The 25,192-nt window shown below is 35.0% G+C and overlaps 1 long non-coding RNA gene across 1 annotated transcript, besides 4 other annotated features; it reads left to right on the plus strand.

Annotated features, from left to right (window-relative positions):
• Positions 229–1,428: an enhancer, noted in NCBI's record as "MED14-independent group 3 enhancer chr5:27471884-27473083 (GRCh37/hg19 assembly coordinates)". NCBI's record gives its function as "activates an origin of replication core promoter dependent on BRD2, BRD4, P300/CBP and CDK7 cofactors, and independent of MED14, by STARR-seq in HCT116 cells {active_cell/tissue: HCT116}" and the evidence as "EXISTENCE:reporter gene assay evidence [ECO:0000049][PMID:35650434]".
• Positions 435–954: an enhancer, noted in NCBI's record as "OCT4-NANOG-H3K27ac hESC enhancer chr5:27472090-27472609 (GRCh37/hg19 assembly coordinates)". NCBI's record gives its function as "activates a minimal SCP1, AML or CMV promoter by ChIP-STARR-seq in naive and primed H9 embryonic stem cells {active_cell/tissue: H9 hESC(naive and primed)}" and the evidence as "EXISTENCE:reporter gene assay evidence [ECO:0000049][PMID:30033119]".
• Positions 515–804: an enhancer, noted in NCBI's record as "active region_22430". NCBI's record gives its function as "activates an Ori minimal core promoter by ATAC-STARR-seq in GM12878 lymphoblastoid cells {active_cell/tissue: GM12878}" and the evidence as "EXISTENCE:reporter gene assay evidence [ECO:0000049][PMID:35858748]".
• On the plus strand, positions 744–24,853 carry PURPL (p53 upregulated regulator of p53 levels). The gene is made up of 5 exons (NR_038848.1): positions 744–971; positions 3,987–4,147; positions 6,091–6,253; positions 22,687–22,787; positions 24,401–24,853. It is a non-coding gene; the product is annotated as a p53 upregulated regulator of p53 levels (long non-coding RNA).
• Positions 1,009–1,216: a silencer, noted in NCBI's record as "fragment chr5:27472664-27472871 (GRCh37/hg19 assembly coordinates)". NCBI's record gives its function as "represses an EF-1alpha promoter that drives an FKBP-Casp9 reporter gene in an ReSE screen in K562 erythroleukemia cells {active_cell/tissue: K562}" and the evidence as "EXISTENCE:reporter gene assay evidence [ECO:0000049][PMID:32094911]".
• Positions 24,854–25,192: the final 339 nt, after the last annotated feature.

Consider the following 25,192-nt stretch of genomic DNA (forward strand, 5'->3'; position numbering starts at 1 on the left):
AAAACAAAAACAAGTAATGGACATTCAGTAAATATTAGCAGAGACAAAGGAATGTTACAAAGGAAGCAAATGGAAATTTTTTAAATGAAAAATAAAATATCTGAAATTAAACATTTATTAAGTTCAACAGCAAAAAAAGAATAATAGTAGGAAAATATGTTGAACATAAAATAGTATGTCCAAAAAGCCAGATCTAACTTCTTATTGCCTACAAGGAATCAACTTTGAATATAAAGAAAATGGTACAAATTAATAGATCAATAGCCATTCCCCAATATAAAGAACACAGAACAATGAATGAGACTAAAGAGATACTTTGAAACAGAAAAATAAGGAAACCTCAAAACGTGAAGGACAATATTAAAAGGTCTAACGTATTTGTAATTTCGGTACCCAAAGTTAAAATTGGGGCATACTTCTAAATACCCAAAGACTTTCAAAATCTGCAGTACAGTCAATGACATACATTTACGAATGAAAGAAGCTCAGCAAATTCCAAATAGTGTAAGTGGGAGCAAAATGCCTAGGCAGATAAAAAGGGGTCCCTAGAGAATTTCTGGCCTTCTTCACAAGTGTTTACATTAGATGCTTTTGTGCAGATGAGGGAACCTGCCCAGGGCTTGTCTGGGCATGCCCACAGTGGACTGGAGCCTGACATGCTCACTGGGGCAAGTGGGTGGAGCCATGAGGAATTCATGCCTTGCAAAGGGGAGGAGCCTGCCCTCTTGAGCTCTTGTGGTGACCTGGGAATCAATGTGTGAGGTGGTGCTATGTAGCAGGAACCCCTCTTGCTTTGCAAATAGTTTTTTGTTTGTTTTCCTTTTTGCCCAATAGAGCCCTGCTCTACTGACCCTTCAATGTGCCCGTGTGCCTAAATATTCCTGGTCGTGTGAAAAGAACCCAGGTATTAGCTGAACTAAGGAGCACAATTCTGCAACATTTTGGCACCCAAACACGGGGCTTGAGAAATGGTGAGTAAGATGCGAACAAAAACGCCCCTTTTTTTCCTTTACCTTCTAAGCCTTTGTGTCGTCGGACTTTTTCTGAGAGTAGGGGAAATTGTACCTCCCTCCCCTCCACTCCTGTCTCTTCCAGCGGTCGGGAATATCAGCCTTTTCCTGTTTTTAAGGGATAGACAGGTGAACCAGAGGCTCCCTGCTCCCCTCTTAAGTTCCTCGCCCTGCTGGAGGAACCCATTTCCATAAGAATAAGATTTTCTTCCTGCAGGCATCTTTCCAACTCTGCACTTTAAACTTTTCTGCCTTTCTCTACCCTGCCAGCAGTTAACTTTTAAGTGAGAGTTTTGTTTTTTTTTTTTCCTTTTAGAAGACATTTTACTAGGCCAGGAATTATAAGGATCACTGTTTATATTCTCTGTAAAGTTTTAATTATTAAAAATGATTCATGAGGTTGATTTTAATCTGTAGCCAATCTAGTGTGCTTTGCATGGCTTTCTGTATGGTCAGTAGCAACTTTGCCGCAGGTCTCCATCTAGTTTTACGTCTTTCAAGTGTGACCTGTAACCTCATGGCAATGTTTCGTTTAGCCTCCACCATTTTACAGTGGCAGCTGGGTTCAATCCTGGCTTAAGGAATAAACTCCTTCTGATTTGATATCTGGATGACCTTTGCAATTTGTTGATTCTTTTCCCCTCAACAGCCTTGGATTTTTCTTTCCCTGAGCCTTTAGTAAAGTTTGAAAGCCAGAAATATTGGCTGCTCGGCATAACTAAAACCAGATAACAAGGGATTTAAAACAATTTTCTTAAAGAGCACACAGCTTAATTAAAAGTGTATATCCAAGTTATAGGCATATTTGAAAGGCCTTTATTTATTTAATTTTTTTCCCCCTTGGATTTTGTTTTGCTGGAAAAAGGGTTTTTTCTCAGTTGGCCGAATTCTTTTTCTCCATTTTGTCTTGCCACTCTTGATGCATGCACGTGAGGCTCTAAGGTAACTCTGGGGTGCATGGGACTCCTTGAGAAAAACAGAAGGCACCACTGACCCCTTTTTGGGAAGAAATCTGTTTTCCTCATGGAACCCCAGGAATTAAAAGCAGATAGATCCCTCTCAAAATCTGTTTTTGCTTCCCAATTATGCCTGTTTATTACGCCCTAGAAGCAGCATGTTTTCCTAGCCCTGTCTCTTAAAGGGATCCGCCTGGAGGACAATAATCCTATTAGGAGACTGGCAAATGAAAAACCTTGTGGCTGCTGAGTTTTCTTCTGCCTGGCTGTGTAGTTATATATGTGTTGTATTTGTGATGTTTATAAAAACAGCTCTAATTAATTGGCCTAAAGAAAAATAAGCACTTGGATCAAATATTTTTTAATGGAAAGATAAAAGCTGTGGTAGCTTTTAGTTCTCATGACTTTAATCTTTGAGAAATAAAAACAGCCTTAAAGATTATTTGGTGAAATGCATATGTCATCAAAATTTAAATAGGTGGACTAAATTATGCACGTCAGATACTAGGTTTGCTAAATGTTTTAAGGCTATAAAATGCTTTTTGAGAATGATTCAATTTGCTGGCTTCACAACTGGTAAGGCCCGGAGACATATGTTACTAACCACGCCCTTAGTTGTGCTGGAAGGAGTCAAACCTTGGCTGCCCCTAGCACATAATTAAAACAACTTACCAGGTTTTACTTTAAAGGTAAAAATTGCTAGGAGTTACCATTATAACATGTAATTGAGACCACTAAAAATATATTTACATTTGAGTTATGTGAGAACAGTAAAATATGTTTTTAGTAAAAGATTATAAGAAGGCATAGAAATGTAAAATTCTGCCTAAGGTTAAAAGATTGTTTTGAATTAAATAAGATAACAGTAAAAGTTCAAACAAGTTGTGGAAGGATTGCAAAAATTAACCTTGCAAAGGAAATCCCATGTGTGAACATATTGACTAAATTCAAAGAATATTATATGGTTTTTCTGTAAATTCAGCATTGAAATAAAAGCATAACAAGGCACTCTTAAAGCAGTAAGCTACTCTTCAGCAAAATTTGTAAAGTGTTATAACAGATTTTTGCTTTTAGAATTTCTGAGTCATCATTTTAGCAAAGTAAATAACATGGTAATCTGGAATCCTATTTCATAACATCAAGTATTTTAAATCCCTAACATACTTAACAGCCTTCCCAAAATCAAACTTCAGTTTCAAAATTGTCTTTCTTGATACCAGACTTTTGGATGCTACAGAGGACACCTGCAGCATCAAAAAAAGTAAGGTAAATGGATTATCTGGTATGTTTTAGGTACATGGGATTGACAAAACGGTGTTCAATCCTTTTTCGGTTGTATTTTTGTGAATAATACTAATAGTACTAATAATAATACTAATGTATAGTTCCAAACTTTTATGGGATTTAAAAAATTCTAATGTTTGAGCATATACTATCAATCATAATTATAGCTATTATGTTAAATTATTGTAAACCATGGAGATAACCAAATTTATTTGTCAATCATGTTTCTGACTGCAACTACCCTGGACATTTTGTTACTCACAAACCATTGTTGTCTTGTTTTGATCCTATCCTCTTCACATGATGTTTATAATCAGCTATGGAACTTTGACAGGTGTTCTCAAATGCAGGCTTCTGATAACTTTGGAGATTGTGACATTGGAATAAAGGAAAAACATACAGGGCTCATGAAAATTGAAATGTTCATGGATAGCAAGCAAAACAAGAGTTAACTGAATGGACTGAACTAATAGAAAACTGAAGTAATCGTTTTAGCTTTTGCTTGGAATATTGCTGATCATTATTTTGTTTTTCAGAGTCCAGGAAACTTATTTTGAACTATTTATGACCTTTAATAATTGAGTAAGGTGTACTCCTGTGAACAAAATTTGGAGCATTATTTGTCTCTCTCTGCCTGGCTTCTCCAGAATTTGGAAACTAATATTGAGTATTCTTAACTTATGGCAGTATAGTCATTTGCATCAGTGCAATAAGAATCCTTTTTCTTTTGCAACAGAATGCAATTGGAGAAACTGGTTGTTTTACCAGGCGTTGATTGGAAATGTGTGCTTCCCTTTAAGCAGTCAAGCTCAACTTGCAGAACTGATGGGAACCCCTTGGGAAAACTGGCCTCAAATGTTTGTCTACACAGTCCACATACAGGGTTCTTAACCTGCGGTGAGTAAAGAATGTCACTTTCCAACAGGCCCAGATATCATATGCTCTTGGGACCTCAAGAAGAGAGGAGTTTACCCAATTCATAGGTGTGTGAGGATAAAAACCTAGGGCTGGGCTCAGCTTTAAATGGTCTTATCTGAGATTCTTTGTGAAACAGATTTTCATGAAAGCCAATCTAGAGGGCCTACGTAGAAATAATTGTTTTTGCTGCACTTTATGCACATAATCAAGCCAATTATAAGACTAAAGTCTATATTGCAAGCAACACACTCCTATTATGATTTGTTTTTAACAGAAATGAGGACGAGACAGAGAGAAATTATGTTTCAAAACTTATCATCATTAGTTTCTAGACTTATTATTTCTTTTTAAGTTTTTACCTACATTTTAGACTGACCCTGCTTGTGCCTGTGAACCAACCAACAATCTCTGGCTGCAGCTCAGAAAGGACAAAAGAGAATGGGTAATGTAAAAACCTGGATCAGTATTTTAGTTCTGAACAATTATCCTGCAAATCCTGCCAGCTGATGGGAATAAATAGGATGCCCATGATCCGGAGGTTTACTTTTTGGGAAAGTAAAACCAAGGGAGCTAACCAAAGTAAAACCCCATACACCCAAATCTGAGCAAGCATAACTATAGCCACCAGTTATCTGGGTGTGTCACAAGACACTCTTTTCTTTCCTTTGTTGGAGGAGAACTCATTTCCACAGCTTCACTTTAGCATTATGGCTTATGTTAAGGAGTCTATGCAACTTCCATGCTGAGACACGTTTTTGGTCCCAAAGTTAATTCCAAGCTTTGTGTCAAAGGCCTAAGAAAACTGGATCTTAGGGATCCAGAAGCCAGACAATAATGAAAGTCAAAAGGCACAGCACAGGTGAGCATGACTAATTCCCGCTGATTAAGCCAAGCTTCCTGTTTCATGGATAAAGGTCATGCTAGTATCCATGGCATAAATGAGGTCTAGAGAACTAAAAGGCTACTGCCAGCAGGGGAGATAGGGAGGACATAAGACAGGGCAGCTATTCCCATCCCCTAGACCCCCTGTTAACATGGATGAAAGCCACTTTGACACCCATGGGTGGCACCCTGTCACAGTTGGTGGGACTCAGCAATACAGGGACAGAGGAAAGAAAGAGGAACAACTCACTTTCTCTCCCTCACACACCCTGAGTATTTGCTAGAAAAAGAAAGGAACCAGGCACACATGCTCCCCTATTTCTAGATGAGTAGCCATTCATCTTTAGTCTGCACCCTTTTAGAACATGTCCTGAACCCCTGGGACTCTTCTGAAAAAAATGCCTTCTTTTTTCCTTTTTCTTCCTCTGTCCTCTATTCACTGGTAGGTAGGTAATGGTGTCCCATACCACAGAACACTTCCCTCAGATGCATCCTTCTAACTGGGAGGAGTTAATTTCTCAAACCGTAGACTAATTGGCTTAGGATTAGGTTCAGGGGAAGGGAACACAGAAACATGACATGCCAGCAAAAGGGTAAAAGGTTTTTTTTCCCCGTTGGGCTTTTGGCCTCTCTCTCCCTGTGCAAACTGGTAAAAGGCGTCTGGATTTTCTAGTTGTCCTTACCCACTGCTTGTTTCGTTTTGATACATATTTTCTAATAACCTGTTTGTCTCTTCTCACTTTTAGGCCATCAAACTCCAGTCTGCACCTGGAGCCTTGGATGATGGCCTTTTTTACTGGGAACCCTGAAATAGGCCTCTGAGGGAAATCTGATTGCCATTTTCCCAAAACAGCTTCCCTGACAATAGGAAGCAATTAAGATTGGTCTTCATCCTTATCTTTATCCTTATTCTAATGGCAGTTAGAGGTACTTCTTTAGAGGGGGGAATGAGACAGCCAAATGCCTAGGCAGATAAAAAGGTGTACCTGGAAAATTTCCAACCCGTCACACAAGTGTTTACATCAGATGCTTTTGTGTAGATGAGGGAAACTTCCCAGGGCTTGTCTGGGTATGCCCACAGTGGACTGGAGCCCAAAATGCACACTGGAGGAAGTGGATGGAGCCACGTGGATGTCATGCCTTATGCAGGGGAGGAGCCTGCTCTCTTCAGCTCCTGTGGTAATGTGGGAATCGATCTGTGAGGTGAGGACCTGTTAGCAGGAACCCCTCTTGCTTTGCTGAAAGTTTTATTTTTCTTTTTGCCCTATAAAACCCTGTTCTACTAACCCTTCAATATGTCTGCATTCCTAAATTTTCCTGGTCATGTGACGAGAACCTAGGTTTTAGCTGAACTAAGGAGCAAAATTCTGCAACATAAAGTCAAAGAAAACTATGCCTATATCCATTAAATCAAATGTTAAAAAGCAAATATAAAGAAAAAGTCTTCACAGCCCTAGAGAAAAGTGAAACATTGTACATAAAGAAGTAATAATTTGAATGGATTGTCAGAAACCATGACTAGAAGACAGAGGAGCAATATTTTCAAATTTCATAGAGAAAGGAAAAAAAGAAAAGAAGAAAAAAAAGAAGACATAATAAAACACCTGTCATTTTAGTATTCTGTACCCATTGAACATAACCTTCAATAGAATGTGAAGTAGACATATTCAGGTGAATAAAAAATCAAGAGAATAATAGTTATGTTCTACATGAAATTATAAAGGAAATTTCTCAGACTAGGTGGAAATTATACTAGTGAGAAACAGATTTGAAGGACTAAAGGAAGAGATGATAGACTGACAAAGTCAATTTTTAAAAGCCAGATCTAACTTCTTATTGGCTACAAGGAATCCACTTTTAATATACAAAAATAGGTAATAATTAAATTGCTAGAAAATACATTTCAAATAAAGAATCAGCACATGTAGCTTGGAGAAGATATATTAACATAAAAAGGACTTCAATAAAAGGAGTATTATGAGAAGACATTTATGCAGCCAAAAAACACATGAAAAAATGCTCACCATCACTGGCCATCAGAGAAATGCAAATCAAAACCACAATGAGATACCATCTCACACCAGTTAGAATGGCAATCATTAAAAAGTCAGGAAACAACAGGTGCTGGAGAGGATGTGGAGAAATAGGAACACTTTTACACTGTTGGTGGGACTGTAAACTAGTTCAACCATTGTGGAAGTCAGTGTGGTGATTCCTCAGGGATCTAGAACTGGAAATACCATTTGACCCAGCCATCCCATTACTGGGTGTATACCCAAAGGACTATAAATCATGCTTCTATAAAGACACATGCACAGGTATGTTTATTGCGGCACTATTCACAATAGCAAAGACCTGGAACCAACCCAAATGTCCAACAATGATAGACTGGATTAAGAAAATGTGGCACATATACACCATGGAATACTATGCAGCCATAAAAAATGATGAGTTCATGTCCTTTGTAGGGACATGGATGAAATTGGAAATCATCATTCTCAGTAAACTATCACAAGGACAAAAAACCAAACACCACATATTCTCACTCATAGGTGGGAATTGAACAATGAGATCACATGGACACGGGAAAGGGAACATCACACTCTGGGGACTGTTGTGGGGTGGGGGGAGAGGGGAGGGATAGCATTAGGAGATATACCTAATGCTAAATGATGAGTTAATGAGTGCAGCACACCAGCATGGCACATGTATACATATGTAACTAACCTTTACGTTGTGCACATGTACCCTAAAACTTAAAGTATAATAATAATAAAATAAAATAAAATAAAAATTTATCAGAAAAACAATATCAATTATAATGTATATACCTAATAAGAGAGCTCAAAATATTTGAAACAAATCTGACAGAATTAAAAAGAAGAATGGATAAATTCACAATTATAGAAAAAGATTATACACCAGTTTCTTAATAATTGATACAACCACTGGAGAAATAATAAGAAAGCAAAAATAAAGACATAGATCCAAATAACACTTTGTACTAATCGATATTTCTAGAAAACGGCAGTCAACATTGTTTTCCCGTGTTCATGTATATTCACCATGGTAGACCCTTTACTGTATATAAACCTAATGTTGATAAGTTTAAAAAGATTAACAATTTATAGTGTATTATCCAGTTACAATGAAACCTAATTAAAAATTAGTGATTGTAATCTAGGAAAGCGAAGCTCTTTTAAATCATCCATTACTCAAAGAGGAAATCTCTAAAATGTAAATTCTGTGAAAAGGGAGTTTAGTTTTATACACTGTTTTGTTCCCAGCATCTAGACGAGTGACTGGCAATTAGTAAATGGTTAACAACTATTATTATAAGAAATGCCCCAGGGGACAGAGAAAGAAATGATAAGGAAATATGCAACGATTTTTCATGAGAAATAAATGATGAACAGGTTTTTCATGAAAGATGTAACAGAGGCCCAGCATGGGGCGGGATGGCAATACACATTGGTCTGTCTCCTAGGAAACACACAGATTAATGGCTAAAAACACATGCCTACAAAAGACAATACTTAGAGTTTACAATCAAGACTCTATTACGAACTCTATAAACTAGAGCAATATTCTAAAATTATTGATTCTTTAGTTTCCTAATAGAAAAAACTTAAGAAATAATGAAGCAAAGTTTTTTTGTTGTTGTTTTTTGGTCAAGCTTAATTGAAGTGATTTGTGTTAACGTGCTCAGTACAGTAAATGGTTCGAAACAAAGAAATCAATGAATAATACTATTATCACAATTATATGCCGTTAATGCCAGAAAGACTAAGCATCTGATTCCTAACATCAAGGTTTGTAAGAGTGTGTGAACTTTGTAACCTCACTTAATCTCTTAGATATATATTTCCTTTAAGGAAAACATGGGAGAAAAGAGCATTTGTGTGCTATGGAGCAATTTAGAACACATTTCTTGGGGGAAAATGGCTAATATAATATTAATATTAGTATTATTGTGATTAAATGGATTAGGAGGTTCTACAAAGAAAAGTAGGTTAATTTAGAGAATAAATGTAAACTACAAATACAATAACTCATTTTATCAAACTATTTTGGTGTTATGGATTTTTACACAGTGAACAAAACACACTTGATTTTCTTTAGGAAATGATATACTATTAAGAAATGAGTATATAGAGGCTTAGCTCTATTTTTGAAATGACTCTCTAAGGTCTTACAAATTGAAAAAGCAAAACTCAAGACAAAAAAAAAATTAATTTGCAAAAGTCAGTATTATCTACAGGAATTAACAAAGAAAAAGACTCAAATCTCTGAATATTTAATGTGTGGGTTTATGAGTTTTTTTTTTTTTTTGCTTTGTTTTGCTTTTTTGAGATGGAGTCTCACTCTGTCACCCAGGCTGGAGTGCAGTGGCGTGATCTTGGCTCACTGCAACCTCTGCCTCCCAGGTTCAAGTGATTCTCCTGCCTCAGCCTCCTGAGTAGCTGGGACTATAGGTGCCCACTACCATGCACGGCTAATTTTTGTACATTTAGTAGAGACGGTCTCACCATATTGGCCAGGCTGGTCTTGCACTACTGACCTTGTGGTCCACCCACCTTGGCCTCCCAAAGTGCTGGGATTACAGTTGTGAGCCACCGTGCCCGGCCAAGTTTAATATGTTGTTCGATTTGTTACTTTCCTTTGTCTCCGCTTCCCCTCTCTGAATTAAAATCAATGCCTTGATTTGTCAAACAAATATGTAGTGAGTACCCACTATGTATAAATCTTTGCATCATTTGCCACAAAAAAAGGCTGATATCAATTATATAAAGCATTAGAATGTACTAGAAACAATAAGGAAAAAAGTGACAGATAAATACAACAGAAATATATCTAATATTGCTTTAAAGTTATAATTTGTAATTTTAATTCAACCTGTAGCAGTCTGGTTAGTTTTAAGTATTTATTGAAATTCTATGGACTGTATTTGTAAACTGAGAATTAAAACAAATAGCCTGCAGATTTTCTGTATTGACTTATTAGAATGGTATATATAAATTGCCTGCCTGATATAAAGTAAGTCACTTCATATATAGTAGTTACTGTTACTATATTTGGGGAAAACCATGAAAGTTTCATGAAAAAAAGTGTCCTTTGAGCTTTTACAAACCAGCTTAGTAGGTAGAGTCTGAAAGTTAAATGTGTGTGTGTGCACGTGTGTGTGCCATGGCCCACTTGGACGATCTGTTCAGTTTTACAAACTACCCATCAAAATATGTGTTTAAATGCATAAATTACATAGAAATACATAGTATTACAATAAACATGAAATATATTGACAATTATTACAGTATTTTATAAATTGTAACATATATATGCTTCTCATAACACAATAAATAAGAAAGCATTTAAATCTAGGCAAGTTAAGTTTTATGTTTCAAGAAGGATTAGTGTAATGAATGTAATGGCTGAACATTAAACTCTAGGCTGGTTGTTAACTGCCTTTTACATATTGATCAGCAAATGATTGTGAATGGGCAATGATGGAAAGTAACTTCTTGTCTGGGTCAGAATTGGAGAACTCTGAATTTGAGTGTTTTGTGGCCTAATGACTATCGCCAGGCCCAATACAGCTCAATAGATGGCCAGTTTTATGGCATAGCCATCTGTAGAGAGGAAGATGGTAATCACTAATGTTTTGTTGATCAAAATAATTATGATTTTGCAATAAAGGTAACTATAAATGGCTTTTTGATGTATCTGCAAAAGATATATCCAATGAAAATAATCTGAAATTTCAAAGATGTGTTGTTTCCATGCCGGATCTCAAAATCCCTGAATTTCACACACAGATTCCATGAACTCCAAGTTAAGAACACATGATCTGGATGTTTGACAAAATACCTTCAGCAGGAATAATGAAAGCCCTGACATTTCTGTGTGCATAAAAACTGGAAAACTTTAAAAGTAATAAATCACCAAGTCTTTATAAAAATCGATGAGTTAGGTGTGTATTAGCTTATATCGCAGATGAGGAAACTGTAACATGGAATGGATAAATAATTTGCTAAAGTCACATAGATTGTGAGTAGGAAACTGGAAATTGAACAACAGCTGTATTGCTTCATGGTCAGTGGTTAATGCTTCAATAACTACACTAAAAGGCTTATTTAAAAGGCTTTTTCACAGATGCATTTATTCTCTTCTACATAATTAGTAATGAAATTTTAGTAATATCTGTAGCAAAAAGAACCAGGTTTAGATTGTTGTACAAAATGGCAAATGCATAGAGGGTCAGTTATACCATGAAAAGTTTTATGAATACTCAAACTCACCTACTAATGGCAACAGTGAGAGAATGTGGAGGTCATCCTGAAGAGAGATCATCACCCAGGCCTATCAAATCTAACCACTCCTATGTTACTTTCTCATTTTTAATTTAGCATTTTTCATATGCTGCCACGTATATGCCATTTTTCACTATATGATTTGGGAAGATTTTCTTTAAACAATAAAACAAAATTGTTGACCACACCCTCAACACTAGGTGATCATATATTTTAGGCTAAATCATTTATCCTTATATAAAAGGAATAATATTATCCCTGAAAATATAGAAGACTAATTGGTATATATATGTGTATACATATATATATATATGATTAAATCAATATGTATATTCAACCTGAGAATGACTTTTTGATATCACAATACCCTTGAGTATCAGGTTTTTGAAAGGATCTCAGACTTCTAGAAGTCCAGTCTGAAAATGTAATCTTTGGAAATACAGGTATCAAAAGGTTTTCAAAATATTTGAGTGTAAAACAGAATTATTTACTAATAAGTTATTAATATTTATATAAAGCATATAGCCGTTTGGGAATATTAAATATTTTTATGTTATCTTTTGTGGCACTATGAAAGATTGGAGTCTTTCATGTCTATCACATTGTCATTTTAAAAGACACTAAATAAATCTAAAAATAGTAATTATAATAATTAGTCATCAGAAGATCTAGGCTTTCAGATGTTAAAAGTTATGACTTAGTCACCTTCATGGAAGCATTTAATTGAGCAAGAAACTCAATGTGAAATTCATATGTCGCTACCAAAAACTGTCATAAATCAATGTGCTTCATTACATTACTGCCATAAATAAGTGGCTTAGGTGGAAAAAGAAATATGTTTTGTGATATTATTCAGTAACCGATTTTAACATTGGAATCTTTAAAAAAATCAAATCCAGCTGGTCATGTATATCTCATAGATTGCAGGTCTTTTCCATTGTAGACTGACTGCAATTTGGAAATGTGGATTTGTCAACCAGGAAATGTATGAGATATGAAGATGCTGTCTGAGATAGTTGGTCCTTCAGAAATCTAATAGAGCAACAGTCTAGATATACTGAGGAATAATAGCTATATGTTAATAAATTCCATAATTGTTCTCATAGGCTCAGTGTGATTCAGCATAGGAAACTCATAAAACATTGCTATGGCCTTTAGAAGCCTGAAATGCAAGTCTCCTTGAGCAACAGGCTACTGAAGAGATCTCAGACTCTTACAAGTCCCGTCCAATAGTGTAACACATTTATGTATATCCTATATCCAATAATGTAACTAAACTTAAACTACCCGATAACTAAAATTATTTGGTAAAGCTCCTATATTTCATCCACCTTAGATAAAATAATGCTGGTTAAATTTTCATTTTGAAGAATTGTTTGGTTATTGGCTAAATTTTAATGAGCCATGATCTTAGTTTAGTAAATTTTTAACATAAAATTATGCTAAACAAGATATGATATATAAACAAAAAGACTTTAATTTCTTAGGCTTCTTTTTATGGTGCACTTTGCCATTTAAAAATTAAATTTTTTATGCTATAAATTCAGTAAGGTCATACATACGTAAAACTTTCTATAATAGTCTCGATTTTGAGATGGCTTGAGGGTCAGATGTAAGGAGATTTTACATAGGTTAGACTGTGATTAGTAGACTGGATTTTTTTTTTTTTTTTTTTTTTTTTTTTTTTTTTGAGTTGGAGTTTTGCTCTTGTTGCCCAGACTGGAGTGCAATGGCATTATCTCAGCTCACTGCAACATCCGCCTCCCGTGTTCAAGCAATTCTCCTGCTTCAGTCTCCGAAGTAGCTGGGATTACAATAGACTGGATTTTATCAAGGAATGTATTTCTTCTAGAAAATAGATACACTTTCAAAGATACGTTAATTTACATGAGAGCTTGCCTGTGTGCACAATAGAAAGCCAAAAATAAAGAGGTTATCATCTAATGGCACAAAGTTTTCTTATTTCATAAGCTTGCATTTTCTTTTCTTATTAAACACCGTCTCACCTTTCTTTTTCAGGAAACACTTTCTGAAAATGTCAGAACTCTTGAAAACATGGATGAGGAAAAGCATAAGTACTGCTTTATGCTTTTCTTATGAATTTTAAAAGATGTAATTTAAAGGTACTTTAAAGTGATATTTGTGCCCTTGTAACTGATTCAAAGTAGACTGCTAAGGACAATAAGTAATAAGAGTCTACAAATATCAGTAAATTATGAGAAAAAACGGTCTAATGGTACTTAAAATTGCATTGTGATTTATTAAATAACATTGAACAGCTCCACCTGTAACATTAAGATTCCATTTGAGCATATAGAAAATATATTTATCGCAACCTGAAGTGATTTGGAAAGTATGCTGGGAAGAAAATATATTTACAAATTAGTCTCAGAGGGTAGGTATCCTGTAGCCAGATGGAATAAGAAGAGAGGGAAGGGAGATTTTGTTCAAAGGGGGAGCATAAGCTAAGGAATAAAGCCACAAACAATGATTAAATTAGGTAAAGTGCAATTAGCTGAATATTGCATAAGCATACATATGGGAAGAAGTGGAAAAAGGAGTGACAATATGAAGCTAAAGGGTTTGAAGTGTTCAAGATAATACTAGGCTTCCTAGCCTATTCCGAGACATCTTGTTTTAGAGTGCAATAGATAAGAACTCTAAGGATGAAAGTAGGAGACATGCATTCTAGTCTACGTTTTGGTTAATGGACTGAAAGTGAAAGATGGACTGAAATTGGGGGATGGAATAAAAATGTGATAGAATAGAAAATAGAAAAAGCAATTAGCCTAATGTCATTGATACTTAGAGAAAATATGGAAAATAGTAAATTAGTGATATATATCTTTTCTAATTCACCAGGGTGAGTGAACAAAGGAAATCGGATTTAAAAGTATTCATGACATAGATGCAATAAGGTTTCTCAGTCAGACATAGCAAATTGAGGGAAGGGAAGATTTAGAGGATTGGAAAATGTCTTGCTTGTAGACTAATAGGATATCAATAAGCCATATGAGCAATAATTTGAAATAGTTTTTGTAAAGTATCATGAAGGTAAACCCTGTTTAGAACAAATTAGATTTGAAGTACTTGTGACAAATGCAATTGACAATGCCTTTATGCAGCTGGAAAATTGTTGCTTAGCAGAAAAGCTTGTGCTGGACAAATAGATGTCCAAATTGAATAGATGTTTTCTTAAGCTGAACTAATTGAGACAAATATCCTTATTAAATCAAAAAATTAAAAATTGAAATAACTTACCTATGATAGGGTAAATAATGTTATTAATATACACAAGAAATATGTGATGTATATGTGTATGTACATATGTATACATAGTAATAATACATAGTGCTATTTTTAAATGATATTTTACATAGTGCTTTTTTAAATGATTTTTCAATCATCGTTGTTGGTCTGTGTTATTTTAATCATCAAAGCTGATTGATTTCTGTTTTTGTGTTTTTTTTTGTTTTTTTTGAGGTGGAGTCTCACTCTGTCACCCATGGTGGAGTACAGTAGTGCGGTCTTAGCTCACTACAAACTCCACTTCCCTGATTCAAGTAATTCTTGTGCCTCAGCCTCTCGAGTAGCTTGGATTGCAGGCATGCACCACCACGAGCTGCTAAATTTTTTGTATTTTTTGTAGAGGGGTTTTGCCATGTTGGCCAAGCTGGTCTCAAACTCCTGACCTCAAGTGATCCGCCCTGGCTTCCCAAGCCCAGCTGATTCCTGTTTAAATAAAAACTTACAAAGATCTTCCCACAAGTACTTTATCTTACAATTTACTGAACAATAGAGGCAGTGAAGATGTTTTTCAGAAAGCAATTGTGATCCTGACATTTTCTTCTTATAATCCTGTGCTTTCCTCATTTTTTTATATTAAAAGTAATAGTTCTTGTGATGGCAACTAGGATTTGTAACAACATGTACCCTCATTTCCTGCATGACCTTTTTTATGTCACTTCTTCACATGCAAAGTATACTCCCTCAGTGTCATTACATTATTTGATTTTTGCCCTTTCCCTCACCTTTCCATGTGTTTATTTGCCTATGCCCATCTCCTAGTCACATTTTATCTAGTTAACGCCAACTTGACTTTCAATGCTGTTCAAGATTTACCTCAATCTCAAGTGTTTTCTCTTTATATTCCATACACGCTTAGCTTGGCTGCCAATCCTCTTGGCTGCCAAAGAATCCCAAATTATCTCTTTCAAAAATACAAGAAATAAAGGATGGAGGATAGGAAGGAGGGTGGTCAGGAAAGAACAAAGAAAGGAGGGGAGAGGAAAAAAAGAGAGAAAGAAAGAGAATTAAAGTTAAGGAGGAAGAATTTCACACTGAATTAAAATTGATAATATTCAGGAATGATTTTATAGTAGGCATACATTGATAAATATTAGTTAAATTAATGAATTATTCCAAAAGATCATGATTTGTAAAAATTACCCTGAAGCACTTTAGGAATATTACATTGAAATAGGTATGCAATTTCTAAAGAAACTGGACTGCAAAAATAGCCATTGTGTGTACCTGTGGACCAGAATATTATATTTTGCTTAAGTTTGAAGTGTTAAAGTGCCCAACGTGCTCTTATTTTAACCTAGCAAATTTTCAGCAGAACTTAAGCTCATATAGTATTTGATTTTTTCATTTCTCACAACTGTTGGAATTCTGTTTTATTGAAAATTATACAATAAAATGTTAAAAAATCTTTGTTCCTGCAGTTATGCAATCTTATGCCAAAGTCAATAAATTATTAAATTAAAATCAAACCCACTAAGCCTAACAATTTGAGAAAATGATTATTAAAACATATACCATTTAGAAGGGCAATGCCTTTTTAATATTATAGTGAAGACAACCCTATCAATTATTTAATACACCAAGAATACAAGGATATAAAATCTTTTTCTCTCATATATCACATTATCTGATGTATTTAGCTGTGATGACATTCCAGAAAACATCACTTTTTAAAATTTCTAAGATTTTATTATGTTGCTAGCAAATCGATTTTTTTCAAGTACTGTAACAAAATCCCTAAATGGGCTTTATGAGAACTATTTTCAGTGTGATATTAATCATATTTTATTTATCATCCATACATAGATGGTAGCTTATCTGGTATTCCTAGTGTTTGAAGTGAAGAGTAACACACACACACATCCCAATACCAATTTAATTGATAAATATATAATCATTTGTTTTCAAATATTTATGTTGATACTTGCTTGTGTACTTACTTGTAATGTAGGTCTGTAAAAGGGACTGTTTTCTTTCTGTGAAACTGAAGCTTAAAGCAGTGCTTGTCACAAATTCAAAATCACCTTGCTTTGTCAACATTTTCAGATGTTTTTGGCTCAGTCTGATGACAGCATCAGTGCAGTAAAGGGATCTTATTGAAATGTTTTAACTAAAGATAAAATGCCACCACTAGGAGAAAAATAAAATCAAGGAAATAAACAGAAAATCAATAAATGTGAAATGTATTATAAATTTATATAATAACAATGTTGTATGCTATAAACATCTCACTTTGTAAAATTAACAAGAATTCAGTGAGGCAGATCATTTTCTATGTGTTCAGAAGTCAAGTCTTTGATGGCTAATTTTTATATTACTTCATTACAATATCTCTACTGAAGCAAAATAATTGCAAATCTTTTTGAATGAAATCAATTTATCTTTAATTTTAGATAATATTTGGTATAGTTGGCATAGTTTTGTCACAAAGCATAGCTAACATCAATGTAGCCTTACGACTTCAAATGTCTTTATAGATCTTTTCTGAAATTGCAAAATTTTACTTTGAAATTATTGTTAATATTTACGTTGCACAACCACAAATGTAGAAATAAAATTATAAAGTCTCCAGATAATGTTTTATTTTAACCACACATATGTTGTGATAGTTTCAAATAAATGAAAGCTCTACTGATTTATCATTTTCAACATCTTTACATTATTTAAGTAATATTAATTATATTTATGTAAAAATACCTGAATAGTCATAACGAAAATTTAATAATAATGTATAATATATTGTTAACATCTTTTATTTTCACAAAAACACCAAGGAAGAAGCAGTGAGTATTTTTTATTTATTTTAAAAATTAACTTTTCAATAAATTATTTAGGAATGACTGGAAATGTGCTGAGACAAAGAAGCAGTTGTCACTGTACACAAACATGAAATCAATTACCTTTTGGAGAGTTTATGATGTGTGAGAGCTAGTGAAGTTACATTGCAGAAGAGCATATAAGGAAATCCAGATCTGTATATATTGTAGTATAGTTTTAGTATAAATCTCTAAGATTACACTTTAGACTAAGCCACATAGTCAAACTGTTGTCTATTTATTCCTTTTGAAGATTGAAACTCCCACAACTTTGGCAGACCAACTCCTCAGAAAACATTATTCTTTGACATCAATATGTTTTGCACAAAATTGAATGGCAAGTGAAAGGCATCAAATGGTGAGAATCTAGAAAATAGTGCATGTACGGGAAGGCTTTGCTCAATACAAATCACTTGCATGGGACAGTCTTCTTTAGTGAGTTTATTATATACGGGAACAGAGAGGTAATATGAAATGGAATATGGAATATGGCACTAGCAAGCACAAATATTCAAATATGTGGAGGAACAACTGGATGTGATAAAACACTATAAAAAAAATAGAGAGAAAAATGACAGTAGGAAAAAGACTGTATATATTTTTTGAGAATAAAAGATAGTTTCATTTCATTGGTGGACATGAGATGAGTTGATGCAGCATGCAGGTGGATACCATTTTTTTCAAAGAAAATATGAACAGAGTCTCAAATAAATAACAAATGTTTATATGTGGGTTTCAAGGACAGAGAATAATAAAATAACCAAATATACATAATGTTCCAGTAAAATGATCCATCAGGGCTTACAGAAAGCGTAACTAGAGAGAGACATTAACTTGCAGATGATTTGTTTCTGGCTAATGTTGTGACAGGAGTGTAGCATTTCCTTTCTTCTCAGTTTCCTATCTCACTTACCTTTTGAAAAGACATGATTCCATATTATATTTATTCTGTTTCTCTCTTTCTTTATTCATTTACCCTACTTTACTGAAAAATCTCAAACATCATAGAAACATGCATGTCTTGGTTCTCCAAGTTTGAAAGGAAAATAATGTAGAAAGCTCTGTTTTTTTTGCCCTGGCATTTATATACTCTCCAATCTCACTACTCCCATATCACTCTTCTACCTCTCTTAGAGCAAAATTGCCTCTTAAAAAAGGACATTGCACCCAGCATGGTGGCTCATGCCTGTAATCCCACAACTTTGGGAAATTGCGCCAGTGCACTCCAGTCTGGGAGACAGAGCGAGACTCCATCTAAAAAAAAAAAAAAAAAAAAAGTACATTGCTGATTCCATTTCAGCATCACTCAATTACCATTCTCTAACTGTCTCTGATTTGTCTTTACCAAAAGCCACATCTGGCATAATTGGCAAAAGACTTTTTTTTTTTCCCCACCATTCCAATGAACACAAAAATGACATTCTCAACATCAAATCAAATGATCACATTTTTATTCATATTTTACTCCAACTGAAATGAAGGATATAACTAATTTGTCCATTTTTCTTTAAGCACATATCTGTATTCATTTTGATAACCCAGCACTCTTGATTGTTCCCTTACTGAATGTTTGTCTCTTAGTATCCTTTGCCCATTCTACTCCTTTAAAAAAACTGTTGCAGTAACCAAAGAGTTATTTTTGATTCCACTTCTTTGTCAAACTAAAGTCAGCTCTTTGAGGCTTCTGGATTTTGATATTAAATATGTGTTTAGCAGTTCAAATTTTATATATGTATATTCTAGCTCAGATCCAGAAATCTATTTCCTTCTTATCATTCTCACTTGGATTCCTCAAGCAATTTAACATGCTCTAAATATTTCTTCCATGTTTATTTAGGTTTCAACTCTACATACAGAATAGACTAATTTAATAATTTTATACAATCCTTGGCCTTTTACTTTATATGATCTTCTACATCCAATAGAAGGTTGTTCAGTTAAACCTTAAAAACCTATCGCACACTTTTTAATTCTCTGAATTTTCATCAACACCACGGTAGAAACCTCCTCAATACAGAGTTTTGTAATAATTGCTCTTTAAATTCCCACCATGATATGTTACTATATATTCTGCTCAGAATGAAAAGGTTCACTATAAAACATGGTTTAAAAAAACAAACATTGATTTCTCTGCTTCAGGAGTTTCCTTTCCTATGGTAGATGAAACTAGGTACAATAATTTGTTGTTTGTTTTGGAGAGCTGTCAAGGCATGCTCCATGGCCTCTGAAACTAGGTAGATTGTATCACATACACTCCAGACCAACATACTTGCTACTTTCTGATTTGATTGGATTAACACGATGTCAACAATATAGTGGAACAATGTGATATTCTTGTCAGGTACAGTCTCTTTGGACTATGTCAGACAAATGGCATGAGAGTTAACATAGTCCTCGAGCTAATTCATAAATGTATATTGTTACCATTTTACATAAATGTAATCGTTGATGCCCTTATTTTCTCAGAGGGGTGGGGGAAAATTGCTATTCCCACATTAATGTCTGTATGTTAGTGAATCTGAGTGAGTGCCAATCTACTTGAGCAAATAAACATCTGGAATAGCAGCTGTAATTGGATCTATGATTTTCTTGAATTTGCATTCATTTACTTTTATTCTCCAGAGTGCTTTTGTAAGGGTCACACTGGTAAATCAAAAAGAGGATGTAATGAGGGAATATCACCTGTGTCATTTTTTCAAGAATATCCAATCTCATATTTTCCCCTGCCACACAATACTATATTACTTTTGACACAATATGTTGAGTAGGAAGCAGCACTTATTGATAATTCTACTTGCCCTTCTTCACTACTGCAGATCTCACCCTACTAACCAAGGAACAAATATGAACATTTTTTTCAGCTGACAGAATATAATGTTTATTCCAATTATACATTTGTGAAAAAGGGAAGTGAAAATAAGTCTTTTGAGCCAGTGGACCCATTGTAAGCCCAAACTATGCTAGGACATTATTTATTACTTGAAGTCTCATTAGCTGCATTCTTAAAGGTGGATCTCTTTGTATCAATCCTCAAAATATCAGGGTATTAAAACAATAAAAGTTAATACTTATTCTTTGTATATTTCTACTGCTGGTCCTCAAGGGGCTCTGCTCATTGTAATCAAATAGGCACCAAAGGTGCAGCAGTCCCCAGCATCTTTCCCTGTAGCCTTTGTGGTATTGGGTATCAGTGTTTGTCACGACGAAGGAGGACAACTTAGAGAATTGTGCCCCTGCTGTTAGACGGAGTCTGACAAAATCCAGACACATAACTGTTTTATGAGTAAATTGCCAATGCCAATCACATGATCTAAAATTAATATGGTGGGTACCAAAGGAGAGGCAGACTATGTGTGTTAGTGAGATCTGATAGTGTCTGCCACAACACTTAATAATTTTTGGAGAATTTTACCATGGGCTTGACATTTGAATATTCAATTTAAACTACTTATTTATGAAATAGTTATAGGAATAATTAGGAACTTTATGGCAACTCTATGTTTTAATTAACTTTCTAAGTGGTGAAAGAGTGAATTATTCATAAATTACTTCTGGAAACAGGACTCTTCTAAAAAGCATGTAAGGGAACTTGAAGCAGCATCTCAATTTGTGCAATATGATAAAGAAAAAAAACTGTGGGATCCAGAAAACAATACACAATTACTTTTATTTATGGCTACCAGAACTTCAGGAAACCGACTAATGTTTGTGCACATAATGTTTTTATTATGGATCTATCTGGGGCATATTGAACATACAGTGCCCTCAAAAATGGTCAGTTTTACTCATGCCCAATCCCATATATTTTTTAGGGTAATTTTTCTGGTCCAGTTAAGTTAGACCAGGACATTTTCACTTGACAAATCTGAGTAAACTTCTCTGGAAAAAATTGTTTTTGACCATTCGCCTAGAATGAATCTCTGGGTAAGGAAGATGCATATAGTCGTATAATTTACTGTAGTTATTTTGACACCTTTTCTTAACGACACACCACAGATTTATTGCTGGATATTTTTTTCCTTCCTAAGCCACTTGCCATATAGTTCTACTCTTCTCTAGCTCTAGGGAGGCTTCCTCATACAGACTAGGTCAACAGATTCCATTCCACTGGCTCGTGGATGGGTTTGGCTACCGAGAAGCAGTTAAGAGAAGATCAGAATTATAGGGAGCAGGGAGTAGGAAAAGGTGAAGAATTTATTTTCCTGCTTCCCTGCTGATCCCCTCCCAGGCTCCTACATGTTGGTCACATTTCTCTACCAAATGGTAGTTCCTGTGGGGTTCTTGTAAATTCACCTTCCTCTTTCCATAGAGACAAAAGCTCCCTGCTTTCATTCACCTTCGAGTACTGCAAACTTTTTTTTTTTTTTTTTTTTTCTGAGATGGAGTCTCACTCTGTCGCCCAGGCTGGAGTGCAGTGGCACGATCTCGACTCACTGCAAGCCCCGCCTCCCGGGTTCCCGCCATTCTCCTGCCTCAGCCTCCCGAGTAGCTGGGACTACAGGCGTCCGCCACCATGCCCGACTAATTTTTTGTATTTTTAGTAGAGACGGGGTTTCATCGTGTTAGCCAGAATGGTCTCGATCTCCTGACCTCGTGATTCGCCAGCCTCGGCCTCCCAAAGTGCTGGGATTACAGGCGTGAGCCACCACGCCCAGCCGGGTACTGCAAACATTTAAACATTTTAAACGTTCCTCGAAGACAATTTTTCCTTCCAGGACAATGACTGATACACCTTCTTAAGCTTACAACTGCAAATAAGTCTCTGCCTAACATAGCATCTCTGCTATACAGCCGGGAATGTACTCCTACTCAATGGGATGGCTACACAATGAAATCAATGAGTGACTGCACTTAAAAAATGCCCATTACAATATGAGCTATGTCTTCCTGAAGGTGGCCTTTTAATGTCAAATGAGATAAAGTATGTAAAAATGTTTTATAAATTTTAAAATGTGATAAATATTATTTTGTGTGGATGATAAATGTAGCTATGGGTTCTATTGACTGAAAGATAAGCACTGCTCCTTCATGAATCAAACCATTAATTCCTGATGGTGTTTAATTATTATCGAACATATTTTTCTTCACAGGAGCTGTCATTTAAATGTGCTTGCCAACTAGCTTGTTTATCAAAACATTCCAGACCCTTTCAAATTCTCATTTACATTGTTTCTTGTTTACCACACCCATAAATTTGTATTACCAGCATATTTAACTATCCGGCTATTTTGGAGATTGAAAAAAGAAGACCTGATTTATCATGTGCAATATCTCACACATCTGTCATTTCTATTCTACCGCAATTCGGTGAGTTCAGCCTCTTTTTACTTCATGTTTGAATAATCGCAATAGATTTTATACTGTTCTCACTGCTAAACTTGCTCCCCCTATTACCCTACAGACACTCATATTCATCTTGCATAATACCACCAGATTATTCTTTGTCCATCTATTTTCCTAGATATTTGTCCTCCACTTTCCTGTCTTTTTTTCTGCACTTCATTCTACCCATCTTAGTGAATAGACATCTTTTCAACTCTCTCAGGCTATATATACATCAATTTTTCAAAATCCAAGTAAAACTTCACGTCCTTGAGAGAATTTTAGAGAGCGTGTAATACCTACATTTTTTTTTACCATTTATTAGGAATATATCTCAGCCCCAGTTATGTGATTATTACATATTATAGTATATTAATGTTTGCAAACTCCTTGTAAAATCATACACACCCCATACTGCTATATTCATTTCAATAGCAAAACAGTTTCTTTTCAATTTTGTAATAAATATATTAAGATCCTGTCCTCCTCCAGGCCAATTTTCTTCCCCTATATTTAAAGTGCTCTGATGGAGGTAACTTATTAATAATTTGAGCCTAAAACAGCTTTTCAAATATGCATTTCATTTTTGCACACCAAGCTGGTGTGTGCCTGCAGGCGCTATTTCTATTAAGTGAACAGCTGGATATTGTGTAGTGGATTGACCAGGTGTTTGAGTGAACTCATTAGTCACCATATAGAAGCAACTTAAAAGAATGAGTCACAGTGATAGTCATCTCACTTTGGGAAAAGGAAAAGAAATAAATAAAAATGTTTCATATCTATCAGACAGCCACAAAGCACAGTCCCTATCAACAGGAGCAAATTCAAATAAAAATGGCCCCACCATACATATTTTATTTGATTTACATCTAGCACTGAAGATATACTTTATGAATTTTTCCTTTATTCTGACAGTCATAAAATAAACGGAGGTGAATCATATAACTTTTGAATATCTACATAGCCAGAGATAAACTCTGCATATTAAATATCTTCCAATATTACATCTACCAAAAAACATAGCAGAGGTCATATTTATGTTGCAACTGAGAAAACACTCAAATTATTTAAAGAGAAAATTTAAATACTTTACTAAAATTCACATTAAATTCTGAATTTTACATGGGTTTATGTGGCTCTACCATTCATACTGTTGAACTTCTGAGTTATTAATATTTACAAATAACCCATGTTCTTTCAAATGATTCCAATGCTTACAGAAACACATATAAAAGTACATACAATGAAATAAAACTGTGGCAATGTAGAAAAATGAAAACTATAATATGACAACGCAATGAAGCCAGAGTTAATGTGAGCACATGAAATGAAATCCTAACATTTTCTCTTCAGCTTTGTCTCTGTGTCTTACTATGCTAATGTAGGTAATAAGCAGTATTGATAGCTGGAAGAAGTAAATTAGCACATGAAAAGAACCTTGATTATTATTTGTGCAATTCCTGGAGTCCACTGATACTTACCAACTCTTAAAGCTTAGATCTAGGGTATCCAAACACTGCTTCCTTTCCAAGAAGGAAACATACAAAAAAACTAAGGCAGCATGCTCTAATTCTTTTTTTCTTTTTTTTCTTTTTTAGATGGAGTCTTGTTCTGTGGTCCAGGCTAGAGGGCAGTGGCATGATCTCGGCTCACTACAAGCTCTGCCTCCCGGGTTCACGCCATTCTCCTGCCTCAGCCTCCTGAGTAGCTGGGACTACAGGCGCCCGCCACCACGCCTGGCTAATTTTTTGTATATTTACTAGAGATGGCTAGTGTTAGCCAAGATGGTCTCGATCTCCTGACCTCGTGATCTGCCCACCTCAGCCTGCCAAAGTGCTGGGATTACTGGCGTGAGCCACCGTGCCTGGCCAGCATCCTCTAATTATTATTCATAGTTTGTGAATTTAGGCCTACGTGAATAATAATATAATATTTACTATGATGTTACTATCTACCAACCTTATTTTTCTTTTCTATAAAATAGGAGCCAAAATAATATTTATGTCATACCTTATGAAGTTAAAATAAAATATAACGAATGAGGGGCTTAACAATGAGTGTCATTTTGTAATTACTTTGTACCATTATTAATTGCTGAGACAGAATATGGTATCACTAGTCATCTGTATCTATTGCACAACTTTATTTTGATTCATTCCTTACTATTTTGCATAGATAGGCCTAAATTTTTGATCCACTGCTCAACTCCTGTCTTTAAACCATTGGTTCTCAAATAGAGTTGATTTTGACACCTAGGGAACATTTGACAACATATGGAGATATTGTTGATTTTACAGGGCAACCCTTCATAAGCACAGAATTATCTGGCCCCAAATGTCGACAGTGTCAAGTTCGAGAAACTCTGCACTAGGCTTTTCTGTCTGGTTACT

Source organism: Homo sapiens, chromosome 5, assembly GCF_000001405.40.
Source record: "Homo sapiens chromosome 5, GRCh38.p14 Primary Assembly".
NCBI lineage: Eukaryota > Metazoa > Chordata > Mammalia > Primates > Hominidae > Homo > Homo sapiens.